The 21,708-nt window shown below is 34.2% G+C and overlaps 1 protein-coding gene across 3 annotated transcripts in view; it reads left to right on the forward strand.

Moving 5' to 3' along the window:
- Positions 1-18,556, forward strand: part of AP5M1 (adaptor related protein complex 5 subunit mu 1) — a 29,772-nt gene extending 11,216 nt beyond the window's left edge. For all 3 annotated transcript variants that reach the window (NR_026895.2, XM_011536940.4, NM_018229.4), the window contains 6 exons: positions 9-236; positions 1,903-2,042; positions 2,748-2,833; positions 2,926-3,044; positions 6,037-6,133; positions 8,616-18,556. Coding sequence is in view for 2 of the 3 variants with exons in the window: in XM_011536940.4 (XP_011535242.1) it covers positions 9-236; positions 1,903-2,042; positions 2,748-2,833; positions 2,926-3,044; positions 6,037-6,133; positions 8,616-8,698 (753 nt within the window). In the remaining variant the exon portion in view is untranslated. The remainder of the gene's footprint in view (positions 1-8; positions 237-1,902; positions 2,043-2,747; positions 2,834-2,925; positions 3,045-6,036; positions 6,134-8,615) is intronic.
- The last annotated feature ends 3,152 nt before the right edge of the window (positions 18,557-21,708 follow it).

Raw genomic sequence — 21,708 nt, forward strand, 5'->3', positions numbered from 1 at the left:
CATTTCAGTGTGATTTGGAAGGAATCATGCCAAATGTTACCATCAGCTTGAGTCTCCCCACCAATGGATCTCCACTTCAGGATATTCTAGTTCACCCTTGTGTAACTTCTCTTGACTCTGCAATTCTGACTTCTAGTAGTATTGATGCAATGGATGACTCTGCATTTAGTGGGCCTTACAAATTTCCATTCACTCCACCTTTAGAGTCATTCAACTTATGCTTCTACACTTCCCAGGTAACAACCCTAGAATAGTTGAGAGTTTGCTGATCTTTATATTCATAAATACTATTGATAAGTAGATAATTCATACTCTTGGTATGAGAACTTAGAAAAAGTTCTATTTATCAGACAATAATTGATGATTGAAGATGAAGATTTAGACCAGGCACGGTGGCTCATGCCTGTAATCCCAGCAGTTTGGGAGGCTGAGGCAGGTGGATCACTTGAGGTCAGGAGTTCGAGGCCAGCCTGGCCAACACGATGAAACCTTGTCTCTACTAAAAATACAAAAAGTTAGCCAGGCGTGGTGTCATGCACCTGTAATCCCATCTACTTGGGTGGCCGAGGCAGGAGAATCGCTTGAACCCAGGTGGCGGAGGTTGCGGTGAGCCAAGATCGCACCAGCGCACTCCAGCCTGGGCGACAGAGTGAGACTCCATCTCAAAAAAAAAAAAAAGATTCACTTATTTGAATAAGATACCTCTTATCTTTGGTGTCGGTAACTATTTGTAAATAGCTTTCAAAATAATTGAACTTTTTTTTTAATATTCCCTAAAAAGGAGTTCATGGTCATGGGATAGATTTTGGTATGATTTAGTCATGATTTTAACCATGAACATAAAATACCCCTCATCGCAGGCAACCTGAATTACAAATATATATTATTATTAATAGCTATTTATTGTTTATTGAATAATTGCTTGTGTGTCAGACATTGTCCTAAGCACTTTACATGTATTTTCTCTAGTACTGTAGTACTGCTAACAACCTTTAGATTAAACATTATCCCCATTTTACAGCTGAGGAGAGTCTCAAAGAAGTGAAATGACTTGCACCACGTCTATAGTTGATAAATGAAACTGCCTGGATTTGAACCCCAATTTTTCAGACTTCCAAACCTCGTTTCTACTATACCATTTATCTCTTGTCCTAGTTGTGAATGAGTAGGTTAGAAAAACCTACTCAAGCTAGCTTAAGTAGAGCAAATTTATTTTGAGAATGCAATAGGCAATCTCATTGCCATTTAAGGATAAGAAAAGAAGCAGACACAGTTCTTACTGGGACTAGAACCAGAAAATTAGTATCAGCCTGTACTCAAGGTCCACCCTGTCTGTCACATCTCTGCTTCTCAGTCTCCTCTTTCAACTGGCTTTCTCTGCTTACACATGACCTTACAGCTTTAGGGCTTGCCCTGTATAAGTAGTCTTTCTGTGTCTTACTTCACATGTACCAGAAATAATGATTGGCTCACCCCAGCCTACAAGTTGTTTCCTCTTCAGTCAGTCATTGATGACCAACCAAGTAAGTTACTGCTGAACGATGGGATTGGAGAACTCATGGGATTCAATTGGAGCAACAGGAGCTGTGGGCAGGTTGGCAGTAATCAGTATGCCTACTGCATGCCCTATGCGGCAGATCAGAGAACATGGAGACGGGGAGCCTGGACGAGCAAGTATAGGAACAAGAATGCATTGTACACCTTTGTAAAGCGCTTTTCTCATCTCCGAAAACAAAGAGAGAAGAATCCCTATCCTTAAGATGAATATAGATTCATCATTGCTGTTACCAAAACAACTTGGAATAATCTCCAAGTCATTAAAAGTAACTCTTTTCTCAGTTACTTTTGTTGTTTTAGACTCATTAACCTGAGAATTATATAGACATTTATGTTTCTTTTTAGGTCCCTGTCCCACCAATTTTGGGTTTTTATCAAATGAAGGAGGAAGAAGTACAACTAAGAATAACCATTAATTTAAAACTTCATGAAAGTGTGAAAAATAATTTTGAATTCTGTGAAGCCCATATACCTTTTTACAATAGGTAGGAATAAAATGCATATTGCCATAATTTCTGTCTTCCTTAATACATTTCCACTGTCCCACAGTAAATTGTCTTTGTCTTTTACCTTATTTTTAAGGTCTGAACAATTTTATTTTATTTAAATGAATGCTGATTTTCATGATATAGTCATAAAAATAATCTGTTTACCTTTAAATATGCCTTTATCTTTCTAGTTAAACTTACTAGTAAATTATACACTTAAGCCAATGTAGCTTCCTCAGGGATTATTTTTCTACCGGATTTATTTCTAGCAATTTTTCCATATACAAGTCAAACCAAACTATCAACAACCTGGTGAATTAGCCAATTATATCATAATATTACTTTATTATCAATTCTACTTTTAAATTTATTCTGTAGCATAGTTTTTTGTCAAAATATATCTACATATATAGTAAAATCATAGTCATTGTAGCAACCCATGTGACCGTATTAATACATTTCGTATGATTTCATAGTTGTCTTAAGGATTAATAATGAAATACACATCATCACCAAAAATGTTTATGTGTGCTTGTTGTTTTTCAAGATTTAACATTCATTATTTGTTCTATTCTGCAAACTTGAATACAGATCTGCTTTTATGCTGTCCTTGTATTAAGTAACAGTGGCCAAGTTTGACTTAGATCTCTTAAAACTGTTATATCTATGATCTTTTTCTATTTTATCCTTTTCTTTTTAAAGAGGTCCAATTACACATTTGGAATACAAAACTAGTTTTGGCCAGCTTGAAGTATTTCGAGAGAAAAGCTTATTGATCTGGATTATTGGTGAGCAAGTTTTATTTATTGATTTTTTTTCTTTTCATTTACTGTAGAATCTACTTAATTTAGAATTGTTTATTGGTATATTTGTGTTTTAGGCCAGAAGTTCCCAAAATCAATGGAAATTAGTCTTTCTGGAACTGTAACTTTTGGAGCCAAGAGCCATGAGAAGCAGCCATTTGACCCAATTTGTACTGGAGAAACAGCATATTTAAAGGTAAACATATTTATACAGCTCACTACAGTAGCACCCTTCCTTTGTTTATAAATTGCATATTTCTAGTTGATTTTTAATGTTTTCCACCAATTGTTTTAGAATTCTGTTCTTTTAGTCTGGGATAAGTTCTCTTTTGGATTTTTGTTTGATTTTTTGTTGTTGTTTAGTATTAGTCACTTCTATTTCACTTAATACTTGAACATTTTAAAAAGCCAGGCATAGTGGCGGGATGTCTGTAGTCCCAGCTATTGGGGAGACTGAGGTGGGAGGATCGCTCAAGCCCAGGAGTTCAAGGTTACAGTGAGCTAAATTGTGCCACTGCACTGCAACCTGGACAACAGAGTGCGACCAGATCTCTTTTAAACAAGGGTTTTTTTGTTTGTTTGTTTGTTTGTTTTTAAACGGAACCAGCTAACCTAATACCCAACTTAGTCTAATTCTACTCAGCTCTTGGTTATCAAATTTGAGATTTGGGCCAGGCATGGTGGATCCCACCTATAATCCCAGCACTTTGGGAGGCCAAGGCAGGTGGATCGCTTAATCCCAGGAGTTCAAGACCAGCCTGGCCAACATGGTGAGACCCCGCCTCTACAAAAAATAGAAAAATCAGCTGGGCATGGTGGTGCACACCTTTAGTCACAGCTTTTTGGGAGGTTCAAATAGGAGAATCACCTAAGCCTGGGGAGTTCGAGGCTGCAGTGAGCCATGATTGTGCCACTGCATTCCAGCCTGGGCGATAGAGTAAGACTCTGTCTCAAAAACAAAAAAATTGAGATTTGTATACAGAAAATAGAAGATGTAGTCCTTGCCCTCCAGGAATTTTTCAGTGTTGCACATCAACAATTTATCAGTGCTAACAGCTTTGGTATTTCAAGAAAAAGGTGCTACAGCTGAAGTTGTGGAAAGCTTTACAATGGAGGTGAAGTTTAAGCCAAACTCTGAGGCCTAGTAATGCATGAATATGAAGACTTGAAGATTGACTAACATTTGTTTAGGTAAAGAAATTACTTAAAAGAGTAAAGAAGAATAAACAAGGCATGCTTAGAAACCAGTGCTAAAAATAGTAGTACTATGAGAGACTGGATACATAATTTAGATTAAGATTATAGAGGGTTTGAATCTTACTTTTATTCCTTTGGTTGATGGTGTACTTTTTAAAGTAGGGGATAGTCTTTCACAAGTGATACTTTATGAATGTTAATCTGGAATGGATGTAAGGAAGGTGAGTAAAAAAATTAGAGACAAGCCATTCTGTAACATATTAATATTCCATATGAAAGGGTAATATTGTAATAAGTTAATAATGCTGAGTTAGTGTAGTGTCAACAGAAAGAGAAAAGAAGGGAGAAGGGAGAAAAATGAAGGGACTGCTGTAAAAGCTGTGATAAAATAAAGCCTTGACCACTAATTAAATACAGAGACAAGGAATGGTGTTGTTCCAAGATGATATTGTTTAAAAAAAAATGGAACTTAAACCAAACTTGACGCTTTTTAAGAGGGTAGAGACGTGAATCTCATTCATTCATTGTTTTATTCCAAATATCTAGTCCAGGACCTAACACATAAATATTTGCTGAATGGATGAATATACCTAAATTATTGATATGGAGAAAATTGGGAAGAAATGGGTTTCATATCATATTTTTTGCTGGCAATAGCAATATAGCCCATTGTAAATGTTCAGTGGGTAGCTAAAAATCTAAAGCTTGATTCTTAAGAGAAGGCTCAGCTGTATACAGGATTTAGGAATTAGCCACAGAGAACAAATAGTTGAGGCAGTGGAAATAAATAAGATCAGAAAAGGATAAAATAATACAGGAAGATTAAAAAAAACAAATGAGGGAATTGAAGGAGTGATTAGAAAGGTAGCAAGAAAACATAAAAAATGTATTAAAGACATCAAGAGAAATACAGACAATTAGGGGAAGTGGTAGTGAAGTCAGAAGTATACTGATGATAATTCATTTCTTCTATCTTGGCTTCACTTATGTCCAGAAGCTTTGTTTCAAGGATTATTATAAAAATTCCTACTTCAGATACCTTTCAGAAAAAAATGTGGAATGTTACCACACATTCTATGTCCTTCAAAAGTAGGAATTACGATTTTTCTATTCATTCCCATCACCAACCAGTTACACTCACATTGAAAGCATGTAGCACATATTTTTGTTGACTGAATGATCTAAGTGTGTTTTACAGTATTTCAGTTGTATGGAAATCAGTCTTGTCATAACTTCCAGCATTAAGAATTATACCAAAAAAGCACGCAACAGCCTTTTATTATCAGAGATAATTTGGGTTGCAAAAGGAAAAAAAAAAATTGCTGAGAAGATCTGAAAATTACATTACATTCTAAATCACATCTTATGCATTAGTTCTGTAAAAGTTAAATTTCACCCTTCTGGAAAATTAGCGCAGCTCATTCCCTCTAAACACAAGATAAACTGATGTTTCTGTTTTCATAATTAAATTATATTTTATTAGAAGGTGTATACTTTCCTGCCTGTAAAAGACTTATGATCTAGAATATATCATAGCCACATAGCCCTAGGGATAGAAGAGAATATAGGGCATGCAAGACAGTAGCACGGGGGAGACAGCACCAGCTTTTGGAGTCGGTAAGGTCTGAGTTCAAATGCCAGCTCTGCTGCTTACGTGCTGGGATACCAATTGCTTCCATCTTTGCACGTCAGTTCACTCAGCATACCTTGCAGTATGGATTAGAGCTGTTAGTGAAGTGCGTATTATGTGTTAAGTACTTCATAATGACAGCCTTACAAAAAAATGGCCCTAATGCAAACGGAAAAAAAAACTGTGTGTGTTTTTGTATATATATGTGTGCGCACACACACAATTCAAGTTTAGTACTTGTGGTTTTTATTTTGTGAACTGTGTAAAATAAATTCCCTAAGACTGGGTTAAGGGAAAAAATGTAACCATGCTTTTTACCAAATAATCACCTTAATTTGGTACATTTCTCTCTTCTTTCTAGCTTCATTTTAGGATCTTAGATTACACACTTACTGGATGTTATGCAGATCAGCATTCAGTTCAAGTTTTTGCATCAGGAAAACCAAAAATAAGTGCACGTAAGTTACACAGATTCAAACTAACTTAAGGGAATTAAAATGGTGTTTGCAGTTATTACCTAAGGTAAAATTTGAATGTAACAGAACTTAGAGATTAGAGAATAATCCCAATTTATAAAATTCTGGGCTGATTCTACCCCACATAACAGTTTGTGTACTTTACACTGCCCTCTGCCGCCTTCTTGTTTATAAAGTGGTCTGGATAAGCAAAGATTGGGATAGAGGGGAACTTCAGTGTAAAATTGGATTTGTTTTTCTCTGGTTATTCAGAGATGTGATTCACAGAGACTGTGATGTTGGACAGACAGGGCTTAAGCCTGGCTCAGCCATTTCATTAGCTGTATAACTTTGGGCAAGTTAGCGAACTTCTTGAAGTTTTAATTTTCTTGTGTATAAAATGGAAATAATAGTGCGATTTACCTCAGGATTGTTATGAGGTTTAGATAAGATTATATTGACTTAGTATGATGCTTAGTGTATAGTATAGATTTAGTAGATACTAGAGATGATTCTTATTTAAAACTTTTAAATATCTTTAGCAAATGTTGCAATCAATAAGCATTATTTAGCACCTTCTCTATTCTATCAATAGGAAGACAATAAAAAAGACGTTTCCTGATTTTAGTATGTTTAATGGTTGGTAAAGTATAGATCTATATGTGTGTACACACACACATACACACACACACACACACACACACACACACGAAACATATGAAAATATGAGACAAAAAACAATTTATAAATGAATCAAAAGTATTTAATTCAGATCAAATAGAAATATGTAACATCGAATAGTAGCTAAAATGAGGTAGAGTTATCTAAACTTAAACAACCTTTTTGCCTCATACATTAAGGAGAATAAAGCTGTTATATATGTGGATAAGAATAATCCCAATTTACACACATTTTTATTATTATAGTTAGATAAATATTTCTTAAACTAAGGATTAGGGTTCCTAAAATAAAAAGAATAGGAAAGGACTCTCCATGTACATTTCAAGAGAATTAGAGAACTCAGAACTACAGAATTCTAAGCAACTATTTGTGCTTGTCAATATAATTTCTACTATGTAATGTAACCAGAATAAACCAGTATTCTTTACTTCCCTAGGCTTGCCCTGTGTTTTCTCTTACATCATTTTTTTGTTGTATATATGAGAGACTGAAAGCAAACAGACCAGTATTTTAGATTGTCTATGGGAAAATAATTTATTTATGTTAACTAAACATACTGCAGTAATTTCCAGAGAACATAATACAAGATAGGAACATACCTGCTTCTTAATACAAAATATGTTGAAAGAACTCATTTTAAATTAATATTATGACCCATCTTTTCTTTCCTCTGTTAGTTTCAGAATGTGACTGCCAGTTTGTGCAATTATGTAAAACTTTATTTTGCCATCATCTTGACAATAAAATCTATTTTCATAATATACAACTTAGTTTAAAAATAGTTTAGTAATAATAATACCAATTTAAATAATAATGGCTAATATTTATTGCTTACTATATGCCAGGCAAAGTTCTAAGTGTTTTATGTGCATTGTCTCATTAATCCTCACAGCACCCTATGTAAGTGTTGTTATCTCCATTTTACAGATGAGGACACTGATGGAACTGAGAGATTAGGGTCCCATAGCTTGCAAATGGCAGAACTGCGAGTCAGATACTCAAGCATTCTGGCTCTGGAATCTGTCCACTTAACAGTATGCTGTCTTGCCTCTCATTGTTACTGCGTTCTCAAACTTTGAAGAGAACAAAAAAGACAATATAGTCTATATTCTTTTCATTATGAAGAAGGGCATGAAGAAGAAAGGTAGAACAGGCTGAATTGGATAATTATATTTAATTGGATATTTAATTATATATATATATAAAGAATTTACATGTGTAACTCCAAATGAACATTATTATCTCAACTTTACATATCAGAAAACTTTAGTTCAAATAGGTTGCCATTTTTGTAGAGTTTCAAAGCTATTTTTAAAAAGGCTTAAATTGATCAGAACTATAATAAGAAACCAGTGAAGCAAACTATTTAGAATGTTGCTAGGAAGTTAGGTGTTAATTTATATCTCTGACACTTTGGGTAAAGAATAGCAAGACCCAGAATCAGGGCTATGGTGATAAGGTTATAGAAGAGAAACCAATGAAAAATTTTTAATGTTTTTGCAGTCAGAGTAATGGTCCATACGAAAAAGATTTTAGAGAAAATGTGAAGATAAAATTGGCAGATTTGGCATAAATGAGAGATATTTCATATAAGGTCAAAGATGGATTCTTCAAATATTTAATGAGTCTATATTTGTAAAATGGTAAAAGTTATAATAAAGTCTTGATAATATGAAATTAAAATGAATATTTCAAAGTATTGACTTGAAATAACTGCATTCCACAATTTCAAAAATCATGACTTTGCTCTCGTTGAATTTTTGCTGAAATAGTCTTATCATTAATTTCTTTTTCTTTTCTTTAGACCGGAAACTAATTTCTTCTGATTATTACATCTGGAATTCTAAAGCCCCTGCTCCAGTAACATATGGATCATTATTATTGTAATAGTCTCATGTTTAAATGGGATTATATAATGATAACAGTTTAAAGAAAATCATAATCTTATATTTTTAATGTGGATGCATATAACCTGTGAGTGAAAAATCACTGAATGATTTAATTGTAAAAGTAGTCTTATGTGGTGTTTGTAGTCTGATAGAGCTTGAAAGGACATTTTAAAAGCTAATGTCTCCAATTTTGTTAACCTTCGATTTTATGCCAGTATAATTCAGAACATAGAAAAGTAATGATTCACTTGGGCTCATTTTAGACTGGTCCTGGGTCACCCTGCCACACTTGTTTCCTAGTGTTTCTGTGGCAGACATTGCTAATCAATTACAGCCCTTTTCTGTACTGAGCCTTGGATAAAGGGTCAGGCTCCTTTTTAGTTCAGAGATTCAGGCAGCCACTCCCAGTGGGTTGTAGATAATGTGCAAGATAAAAACTATTTTCTCTTCCAAATCTAAGTACTAAGCTCCTAGTATAAGGTGTTGTTACAGAATACCAGAGACCATGTTAGAGACAACTACATCTCTTCAAAAAACAGCCAACAGAGACAAAGGAAAAGTGTTTAAATAGTAAGCTGTTCTTCTTAATCAGAACTATCCTATTGACTAATAAATAATCTGCATAATTCTACTTAAGGTGTGTAATCTCTGTTCTAGAGTTAGTTTTTAAGTAAGCTTGTTAATCTGCCACTTTGACATTTTGCTTAGGATGTCAGTAGCCATATTAAGATGTGTAGAATACCTTCAGAAGATGATCATAGTGTTTTGTAATCATTTAATGTCTGCAGCCAAATTTTTAAAGGTAATTTAGACCTAATACTGCTCTTGCTGTGTCTTATTAAGTTAAAATTAATGAATGAATTCTGGTAAAAATTCAAAAGGCACTCTGTGAGTAGAGAGTATCATTTAAGCTTATTTTAGTCACATGTAGTATATATCTCCTTAAAGCTGTCACTCTCACTTTCTTACCATTCTCTTGATTTCTTCAGAAACCATCTAGTCATCATCTTTATACTCTACCTGCTTCTGCAATTATATATCATATTATGTTTTCAGAGCAGTTCATTGTCAAGTTGGACTTTAAGTGACCATTCAAGAAAAGATGAAATCTCACGAACCTCAAAACTTCATTCATGTCTTTTTACAAATGAGAAAAAAAAATGCATTAAAGATTAATACTCAATTTGATTATATCTTGGGTTCTGTTTTTTAATGAGTGTTCTAAGGAAAAGCTTAGAAAAGCTGCTAACTCCTCAGAAGAAAGCATGATAGTTTAAAGGTATAGGGCATATAAATTTAGGATTTGAAATATGATTTTTTAATTAAGGTCAGTCCTACTCATAAACTCATTTTCTGCAAAGCATTATCATGGCATAAGGTTCTATGTTCAAAATTATCCCAAGTAACAAAGAAAAAAAGAATAACTGCCTGACCAGGATTTTAACTTGTTATTCTAGCTTAATCATAGATAATCAGCAGTGAAAACTTTCCTTTTGAAAGAAGAAAATATCATTCCCTATAAGTTATTTGATCTCTCTTAAACTCAAAGCTTAACATTTCACTTATGTTGATAAGTTAATGGTAATGGAGCCATTTGGAATCTTGATTGTATAAATGTTTACCAAATACACTAAGGTAAGCAAGAGGCATTTATCTAGTGAGTAGGCAAAGATTTAATATAATAATCCCCTAGGCAAAAGTTTATAAGCAGTTAGAAAAATCAGTGAATCTTCTATTTGACATTTCTAGAAACCGGAGGAAAATCTAGGGTGTCCTGGAAAAGTGATGAGGTGTTGGGGAACCTGATGCCATCTGTTGCCATTCCATTCTAACATAGTGCTACAGAACTGAACCAACTTAGGTTTTCATCCCATTGAGATCAGCTGGGCACACTGTGATGCTTTTGATTTTGTCTAGAAACCTGTCACTTCAGGATAATTTCTGAAGACAAAGTCTGTTTCCCGTTTGGTAGGTGACCTGTTTAATGTTTTCCCTGTGTCTGGGAACTCCTTAGTGTAATTAGCGACCTTTGAACTCCACAACTAATCCTGAGCTATTTTGTATTCCTTACTCATCTTTAAGGCTGGACCTTTCCTTTCTTCAGAGTCCGTTGCCACAATTAAAGAAGAAACAGCTGCATTTCAAAGGGATTCCGATTCCAGAAGCTTAATCGTGATTGACATGTTCTTATTCTAAGCTATAAGACACTCTAAGAGTCCTTTCTTGGGTTAAAACTTCAATCATTTTCTAAAAAATTATCTCACTATGGATTTTATTCATTTTCTTTGATAACTATTCTTTGCATTTTTTAACTTGAAAGATGCTTTGCGTTTGCAGTGAATATGAGCAACTACTTCCAGTGAAAGATTTGGATAGTGTCAGACCTTCTCTAGATGCAAAATTGCTAAATTCCCTTTTAGTGCCAAAATATGATTATGAAATCTGATGTCTATCACATAGGTAATTATTCTTCAATAAACTCGAAAGGTTAAAAAAAAAAGTGTTAATTTTTTAGAATGAACTCCAGAAAAGATCGTTCATGATTTTGTAAACGCTTCTTTTCTCCATTTTTTACTAAACAATATTTTAAAAACTTTTTAGAGCCAGCAATATAGTACTTAGGCAATACCCTTACGGTGGTGGCAATTTTTTTTTAACTTTTTAAGTAATTGATTCAAATGTCAAGTTTGAAGCAGTCTTGTCAGGAATTCTGATGACAATTATTTGTTTAAAAAATTTTTTTTATTAAACATTAGTCTGTCCCATAAAATCGTTTTCATTTTTTTCACACCAATTCAGTATTTCTACTAGGTTAAAATTATGGTGTTTTTATACATTGTATGATTTAAGATCTTTCAAGGCAGACATTTATACTTGGTAACAATTGCCAATTTTTTTTTCTGGTTTTTGTTGTAGTATTTCAAAATACTTCGTAGACATTGATAGACTCCTACACTACCCCTGGGAGCTAGGTAGGTGGAATTATCATCCAGGCCTTCTGTAGGGACTGCTGCCACAACAGAGTGGTTGTTCCTAAGACAAAGGTCAAAAAAAGGGGTGTTAATAAACAGTCCTCAGGTTTAAGGGACTTTTTTAGGATTACATCTTAAATTCCAACAAATCAGATTTAGGAGTTACTGAAAGTGAAATTGATCCATCCCTCATCCAAACTTTGCAATACTTTCCTGTTCTGACATCATTTAGATAGTTAGCTGTATTATCAGATTAGAAACCATTGTACCAGGCTGCTGAAAGGAAAAGGAGGCAAAAAGCTAAACATGGGATGAATTCTGAACCTTTTAACCTGGCTGAAGTACGTTGGTCCCTGTTATGCAAATACCTTCAATCCTCTGCTAAGTTCAGTGGAAATAATTTTCTTGAATGACAGGTTTATTCAGCAAGGATTCAGTTGGTGATTAATCCCCCTTTGATCTAGGGTATTTCACTTAACTACCAGTTACCTCGTTCTGACAAAGTGCAACTGAGATTAGGGAGATCACTAGAACACTACCAGGGTGTGCGTTTATTCTCTATAACCTTTTAAAGCAAGGGCCAAGAATGCAATTTATTTTCAGTATTTGAAGATGTAAAGTCCTGTCTGCTAAGTTAGAAAGTCAATTGAATACCAAATGAAGTTTATTTCTTACGTAATAGAACAAACATTTCTTTTTGCTTCGCCTAACAATGATATTAGGAAACATAGGCTTTGAAGAAAGAAGAAACAAAGACTACATTCTAAGTATTGCTTCTAGTTTTGTTTCATGCACTAGGGTATACTTAACTGGCCTTGACATAACCAAAAATCAAAGCAGTGGCTACAACTTAGACTGAGAAAATGCTTCTGTTTTATTAAGCTGCATGGTTTCTTCTCACCTTTCCCCCTACCACCACCACCACCATTAGAAAATGTCATACTGTGTGGTAAAGAAATCCAGTTGAGGAAAATGTGTTGCAGTACACAGTTATCCACCTTAAGACTAATGATTTCGAAGCTTTGTTAACTATTTCTTTTCTTGAGGCAAAGGAGCTTCTTGTGTTTCCATTATAAGAATAATTGCATTCATTTTCAGAATGCTTTTTTAAAAAAAAAAAGTGACAGCATTACCAAAATAGCCGAGTAATTAAATTTTTTCTGCCTGCCTTTTTCTCAGTTATCTGAGTACCTCTTCTTCCATAATTTTAAATTTTGAAATATTATATGGAATTTTGCACAGTATTTTGAGAAAGAAAAGGTAATGTTTCATGGTAGGTTTCTCAATTTGCTGTTTAAAACTGTTTCAATAGCAATGTCAGTCTTTATCTTGTAAGATGTCAAATCGGGATTTATTCCTCCAGTATATTTTAAGACCTTTAAAAAAAAAGTATAGTGATTTGTTACAAAATATGTTTTTAAAGATTAGATTTTGATTAATGATTTAGTTATATACAGCATTTTAATGCTTAGTAATTACTGTTCTAGTAGCATTTTGCAATACAAGGGATGTATTTAGATTATTATACTTTTTTTGGCTCAGACTTTTTGTGATCTAATTTATAAATTGAAACAATGACTCAAAGAAGTGCATACCTAACTTACGTTTGTGCCAAGCCAGCCTCCTCTAGTTTCAATTTAATAACTAGTTTCAAAATATATTTTGATAGCAAGTTCCTAAACCACAGCAGAATTGCGGATCAGGAAAAATACAAGATAACGGCATTCTATAAAGATAGAGGGCAGGTTCCCATGGCTATGTTGCTAAGAAACTAGTGTTTTTAATCATTACACTCCGTGCAGTCATATTTAATCAATAAAACAGGATATATTTTGAAATTCACCATCACAGAATATATATATATATACACACAACATATATATACAAGTATATGAATTTACGTAAATGTGTACAACACTAGTGTGTCTGACTTGGTGGGTTTCCCTGTGAAACATGTCAGTATCATGTAAGATGAAGAATATTTTAAGGGCAAATATTCAAATATCTTTCCTCCAAACACAGTATTAGTTAATAGTAATGAAATGATTCATTAAACTGAAAATTGCAAAGGAACTCATGAGTTCCTTTGTGATTGAAACAAAGTGATTAAAACTCTTATGACCTGAAGGCTTTCCAACTAGCCTCCAACTGTCCGCACCAGCTGTTTCATGGATATAACATTAGTGTTTGTGTATAGCCTGGAACAATACAAGGCTGTATCTGTATCACTAGCTTCTTGCCTTATAAGCAGGATACTGCAAGGTCTGGTTGATTTCTCTAATGCCCTAGCTAATCTGCCTAATTGACATCAGTGTCATGTTAATGTATGATGCACAAGCATTTACAGATGGACAAATGCTCCACACTAAAAACCACCTGCTGAATTTTTTTTCCAGTAGGATGTGAAATTTTGCACTTCTAATCTGTTGAACATTTAAAGTCAAAACTACATGTTTCCTTTAAATGGCCTCTTTAAATGATATTTTATGTTTATAAATTTTGTTATGAAAAATTTAAAAATTAGTTATTCCTCTTAAATTTTTACTTTTTCCTTCAAAGGACTTGGGTGCCCTCTGCAGGTTATAAAGAGATAATTAGTGACTATATCTATTTTAAAACCCTGTGATTTTTCTCTTTCATACACATAGCCTGCTTACACCCAATTTCAAAGAAAGTGTGAGCTAATTTATTTATATTAACTCTTATTAATTTGCCAGTGGTTGAAGTTGGAGTTTCTTTTCTCCACTGGTTTTATAGGTGTGTTTAGTGTGAAGAATGTGATACCATTGAACTTCCAGACTACTTAGCTGGGGCTCTTTAAATGTTGGAACTATAGTAACACACATTCCCTCACAGAAAGGAGATTGGGAAAATAGCTATTTTGAAAGTTATTGCAGATGTAGGGAATAGCTTGTTTCCCATTATGTTTCTAGAATATTACACATTTGGAGTAAGCCTTGCTTTTTCAACATGCATCATGTAAAATTACATGAAAGAAAATAATTTGAAAATTACACAAGATTTCTCTTTCTTGATCTTGTTGATGATGATTGTGTTCTAGCTCAAAAAACAGACCTTCTTAGAATTTCTTATTTTTTAAAAAAGTGAGTACTCAACAGATAATACTTTGGTACTGCCCGTTGCAGACATGGGCCTACTAAACTAGAAAGAGCATTTGAAGAGCAAAAGGCAAAGGTTCCATCACCATCCTGTGGAAATACGTGAGTTGTTCATTTCAGTACACCCATAGTTTCTCAACAGGTGTAGCAGATTTGTTTCTAAAGGACATAGGAGTGCATTTTTTATATGAAACCAGAACTGGAGTGGTAATGGCACTTCTGATTCAATTAACTTACTTGGTGAAGCTGCCAGGGAAACTAAATATGATGAGAAGAAGAGGAATGACTGGATCAAATTAATAGAAATAGATCTTTTTGCAAGCAACATAATGATTCTGATCATCAACCTTGAAAAGTAAATTAGAACAAGCAAATTGCTGTTGAAAAATTCTTTCAGCACTCTGCTGTTGCTACTCAGCTAGTCATAGCTCAGCCAGAGGGAAGGAAAAAATGCACTCGGTTTTGCATTAACAAAGGAAACATTATTAAAGTGAATGTTTACATTGTGTTTATTGAAGTGTTGAAAGAATATTTGTTGCATCTTCAAGCAACCTGCTGCTCTCCAGACTGTTACAGTGCATGAGTGATAATAAAAATGAGTCAGTCACTTGTACATTTTAGAAAATAAATAACTTTTAACATAGTATTTCTCAACTATGTTACTTCAAAATGTTTAAGTGCCAAACTTAATGTTACCTTCTCTGCTAAAGATTTTTGTCTCTAGGAAATATATTCCATTAAAAAAAAAAAGAAAGAAACTCATTTATTTATTTATTTGGGTATACCTTCCAGTTACTTCCAGATGCTTTATGTAACTTTCCTCCCAGAAGCTGCAATACATAAGAAATAATAAGCTGAAAATAATCAAAAAATGAAAACAATTGTGAAATTACTGAAATGAGTATGTAATTGAGTATGTAATATATGCATTGGAGAAATACCGGTTGATTATTGTGATAACTTTTGAGAGCTACAGTTATTTTGAACTACCTCGTAAAGACTACATTGAGAATGAAAAAGCCATTGAACAATAGATGTACCAATTTGACCTTTAAAAGTTCAATCTTTATTATATGCATTGATAAATGGGAAAGTTAGTAATTAAAAATTTAGAAGGAATTTTAGCCTTTACCTTTCTAAAATGAACAATTTAAATCACTCTTACACTTTAGAAATTGAAATATAGTATTTAACAGGGATTAAAATGTTTTACTTGGTCTCTTAGTGTTACTGAATACAAGTTTAGTATTCTGTAATCCCTTATGGATTGGCTGATTTTTGAAGAACTATTTTCTTAGATTTACCAACAGGACAAGTTGTCGGCCTTTTCCCACATTTCAACCTAAAAATGGTATCTATCACAGTTATCAAAGATTACCCCTTGCTAAAGGCTCTTAAGAAACTGTTAGCCTGTTACTTTATTACTTACCATTTCTATAACATGTACATTTATAGAGCATCATATATTTATTTTAAGTCTAGAATCAGTAAAAAGTTATGTGTTTGTCAATAATCAAAAAATGTTTAATCTAAAATAAAGTAGATGCCACGCTTCTAATTCTGCTTTTGCTAAGGCAATAATCAGTAGAAGTGGTTAGTAATATTTGTAGCTTGTTAACCAACTGGAGCAAAAGGACTTTTTAATATGAATAACAGTGGTCTCGTGCCATAAGTATTTCTCTCATACATATTAAAATAGCATGTTATTTTATTTAATATTGAAGGCCTAAACACAATTGAACATAAGGTATGGCTTGGAATTTAGAACTGCTGAGCAATATGGTTGAGAGGGAGACCTTAATTTAGTCAATAAAAATTCATAATTAATGTTAAGCTTTGTGCTCATATTATATGCCACTCTGGGATTAGACAAAAGACAAAAAACAGTTCCATATTTTGAACGATATATTCTACCTCCTGCAGTGTATTAGCATTGTAGCGTAGGAGACTATTTCTGTATGTTATTAGTACAGAAACTGCCCAAAAAGGTGATGGTTGAAGTTCCCCAGCCAGTTAAAGGGCACACCGTGGGGGCAGCATATCTCCATGGGTCTATCTCTAGCAAACAGAATCCCAGAAACTTGAGCACCTGATATAGCAGAAGGAAATAAAGATTATAGTAAGTATATTCATGAGAGAGAATTTTTTTTGCCTCCAGATGTTTGGGGTTTGGATATGTAGGGTAAATATAAATGTCTAATGAAAGTAATTACTATTATATTTGATTTGATATTTAATTTATTATACTGAAATACTAAATTAAATACAAAAAAACTCCTACATACTAACTATATGTTTCTCCCACTGATTCCCCTCCTGCCTCCTTCACTGATTTTGAATGTGTGCTCAATTTGCTAGTATGAGATTTACCTCTGCCTTATCAGTGAAGAAAATATGATGTCTATATAGAATTATAAGGAAAATATATATGTGAAGAAATGTTAGGTAATCTAACATTTGTATGCTAATGTGTCTTAGATTTACCAACTATCCTAATGTGTAGTCAATTGATAAACTAAATTTTTCTTTAGGATAGTTCACATCCAGTAGAACTTCTACCTTGGAAAACATTCTTAGCCTTGTTTATTTTGAATGTATGTGTGTGTGTGTGCATGTGTGGAAAACAAGAAAAATACAAGCTCTAGAGTAGTGGCCTCACATTGATTTATATTAGTGTGCCAGTCTTTCCCCTACCTCCCTAATATTTCAAACTTCTTGTGGACAATGACATTCATTTTCATACCTTTATATTTCCAGTGCCACCAGAAACACAAAAGCAGCTTAGTGTTGATTTAATGAAGTAGCAAAATGTTAAATACATAACAAAACAGATTGTCCTGTCACCTAAAACAAATTAGTGATGTTTGAGTAATTAGGGTTTTGCATGTGTATATAGAAAGGCTATTTTGCAAACAGTGGTTCAGTCTGTATTGGGCACAGGTGAATTCTGCCCTGCGATTGCCATCTTTAGCACTTTTCAGAGAATTTGTTGCCATTTATGACACTGATCTTCAGACACACTGTGTAGTGCCTTGGCTTAAACTGTCAGACTGGCAACAGCTGAGGCTGCCCATCATAGGACACGTTCCTTGCAGTTATGCTTCAGTGAACTTTAAAACATTTGGCACTCGTATCTTAGAAATGTCCTTCCGAAACTCACTCTACAACAGCTTTGTGGGCTCCCTACTATTTACTAGAGTCAATCCTGATTTTGTTTGGCATAATGAGACCTGATATGCTATGACTCTCCCTATCCTATAAAGCCACAGCTTTCAGCGGTCCCCGTATACTAATGAAATGGAGTCGCCAGTATCCAAAAGTTCCAAGTGATTATTTAGAACATTTCCATTAACCATAAAGGCAAAGTGGTATAGAGAAAATAATACAGTCTTTGAAGTCACACAGGCCTGATTTCAAATCCCAGCTCTGTCATTTACAAACTGGGTGGTCCTGGATAAATTACTTAACCTCTGTGGTCTTCAGTTTCCTCCCAACTTTGTAGGGTTATTGTGAGCATTGAATGATACCAAGTTATAAGTGCATAGGTATTCAATCAGTGTTCATTCCCTTCTGTATCAAAGACTTATAATGGCCTTTTCATGGAATTGTCTCTACCTATAATTATGTGACTGTGCCTTCAGATTATCAAAATTATATGAATTGTCCATGTGCCCTTGGTTTTGAATGTTCAATTCTGTATTGCAGGAATGCCTACTCAGTTGCTTGAATGGGTGTTTGGAGTTAATAAAATGGCTGTACAATTGAGTGGGTGTAAGTGTTTTATAAAGTTTGCTAAAGTTTAACAATTCGTCATTATTCATGGAAAGAAGTTTTCTCAAAATTCACAAATTATAAGAAAACAGTTATATTCTACCCAAAGTGGGATTGAGTGAAAATAAAATTCTTCCACAGGAACATTGAACAAATGTGGTAATAATGCACAAACTATTAATAGAGCTCAATTAACTTCTGGAGGTCTTTTACATTGTCCAACATATGGTCCGTACCATTCATAACAAATTGCTGTTTGTGGAAGTCATTTCTTTTTAAGATGAACCATGATCAAACCGGAGTTGGATGTCTGGTAAAGAGATGAATATGTTCAGAATATTCTAACACACATTGCATAAAATACTGTACTGGGGCCTGTTTGGTGGTGGGGGGGTGTGGGAATGTACAATTAGAGTAAGTACCTGCTTTCCTAAAATTTACAATCTAAAAGATGTAGAAATGCTTTGAGTACCAGCTGTTATCTCTTGGGGTTTCTTGACTTTTTTTTCATAAAAAAATAGAAAAATATTGACAACATAAAATGTTTTAATATCAGATTGTTTGATTTATTCATGTGGTGAAACATTTGAGTTGTCAAATTTTGCTTCCTGAAAATCTGAAGTTTCAGAACAAGGGCACTTAAATCTCAGTAATGCTAAAAGGAGTGGGAGATAATTTGTTCTCATCTCACAGAAAAGACACATTTTGTTTTGTTTTATTCTACCAGCATTTTGCCCAAATTTGCTCCATTGGATAAGGTATCCTAGGCTGCAGCTACACATTTCTGATGGCAGTGGGTATATTCCTTCATCTTCCCTGGGTTGCGTCTCTGCCACAATGCCAAGTTTCTCTCATGTTTGAAAAGAGAAAAATAAATGACATCGAAGCCTGGATTTGATCCTCAGAAACTCCCGGAGACCACTCCCCTACACTCAAGGAGCTTCCTGACTTCCCAGTCCTGCATAGGAGGGCCCCCACCCTCCAGGGAGGCACAGTTGGTAGTGCCAGAGAGCTTCTTAGGAACTACACATATTCCCATCTTTTAATAGTTACTTCTCTTTGTGTCTTCTATTTCTGGCAAACACATTTGTTTTACATTTTTAATAGTGATTTAAAGTTCTCTTTAAATAAATTTAAAAGGAATTCATATAAAGAAAATGAGTAAATCATTTGGGTAGAGTATAGCTAACATAAAGGTTAAAACTCAAATGAGTGCACAGTAATCTTGGGCCTTTGTGAAAACCAAAGATTGATGCTTAGGGAATCCAAAAGAAAGATAACTTTTTATTATCCTACGTAAGATAGTTTCTCAATAAAGCCTTTGGCAGGCTTAGTAAGCAATGTAGTCAGTGGAGAATATACTCTGGCTGTAGCATTAGGCAGGCCACAGTTCAAATGCCATCTCTGTTTAAGAAGGTCTCCTGGGGCCCAGGGACCTCATTTATAAAATAGGAACCTTACATCTTAAGACTGGTGTATGAATTAAATGATGTAGCACATACAAAGTGAATGCGACATAGGTGATGCCTGTTCATTCCCTTTGACTCCCCTCGAATATCAATGTCAGCTGTTTCTATTAATGACTTATGAACTGAAAATAGGTCATAATTATTTACATTCCAATTATTGTTTGTAATGTATTCTAGTATAATAGGGAAAAGCCAAGTATTAAATCCTCATGTTTACTGCAACACATAGAAATCAAAAGTTTATGTCAATGGCAGAGTCAGGTTTAGATTTTCATCTAGTTAAGCTAACCAGTGCCACCTCACCTACACACACACACACATATTAGTATATATATGTTTTGTAACAGATTATTTTCCTCTCTGGTTTGGTAACTAGGAAACTGACAGCTGAAATTCTGATCTTTATTAGAGGTATGCAGAGGCTTTTCATTTACATGCTTTGTTAATAGCTTTGTATTGTCTTCATTTTTCTATTCTATCCTTATTTTCCCTTTGCCTCAATTTTTTTTTTTTTTTTTTTTTTTTTTTTTTTTTTTTTTTTTTAGCTAGGGTCTTGCTCTGTCACGTAGGCTGGAGTGCAGTGGTGTGATCACGGGTCACTGCAGTCTCAATCTTCCAGGCTCTGCATTCCTCCCGCCTCAGCCTCCCAAGTATCTAGGACTAAAGGTGCCTACCACCATGCCCAGCTAATTTTTAAAACCTTTTTTTGTAGAGATGGGGTCTCGCTATGTTGCCCAGACTGGTCTCAATTTCCTGGGCTCTAGCAATCCTTCCACTTCAGCCTCCCAAAGTGCTGTGATTACAGGTGTGAGTCACCTCTCCCACCCTCAATCTATTTTTTATGTTGCATCCTATTGTACTACCCTATCATATTGTACTGATCTTTATTAATGATATACTACTATATCTCTTATAGTTTTCTCAAATCATTTTTGGAATAAGGCTGAGGATAATTATATATGCAAAATAATGTCAACCCACTGCTGAGTGATGTTCTAGGCCAAATTTAGAAAAAAAGATTGGGGAAAATGTAGTGTGATCCTGAAACTGATGTCAGATAATTCCCTGGTGGCTTCTAAATTTAAGCATTTCATTCTTGCCCACACACGGCTGTGTTATGCCACTGATTGTTGCTTTACATCAATAGCCATTAAAATCTATTTGACTATTAAAAGAAAAAGGAGGACTCACATCATTAACAACTCTACCAGTTCAAATACATGTCTTTCAAATTAGTCTCCTCTAGATATGATTCCAGTGTATCCTAGCTAGAAAAATATTCAGGGGACCTCTCTTGGAAAAGTCTTCGAAGCTAATTTAGAAGCTACAAAAGAAAAATGAACCTCATAATTTCCTCTTTTGTTTAAATAAAAACCATTTTATCTAACATAATTAACCACCTTATATTCATGAGGCTCAATACATCAAATATTTGGAAGAATATGCTACATGGTTTAAAGGCCATTCACAAAGAAAAAAATTCCCAGAAAGATTTGGGACAATGGCAGAATCATTGGAATAAGTGTGTAGTTAACCAAAGACGACTTGGAGGCTCAGTTGCAAGTTCTGATGTGTTTGTTTTTAAATGAATCTCAATAGGACACCCCATACAGCATAATCCTACATGTTTCTAGGGAGCCAAAATATTCTAAATATCAAGATTTTTTTGGGTTTTGT

This window comes from Homo sapiens, chromosome 14 (genome assembly GCF_000001405.40).
Source record: "Homo sapiens chromosome 14, GRCh38.p14 Primary Assembly".
Lineage (NCBI taxonomy): Eukaryota > Metazoa > Chordata > Mammalia > Primates > Hominidae > Homo > Homo sapiens.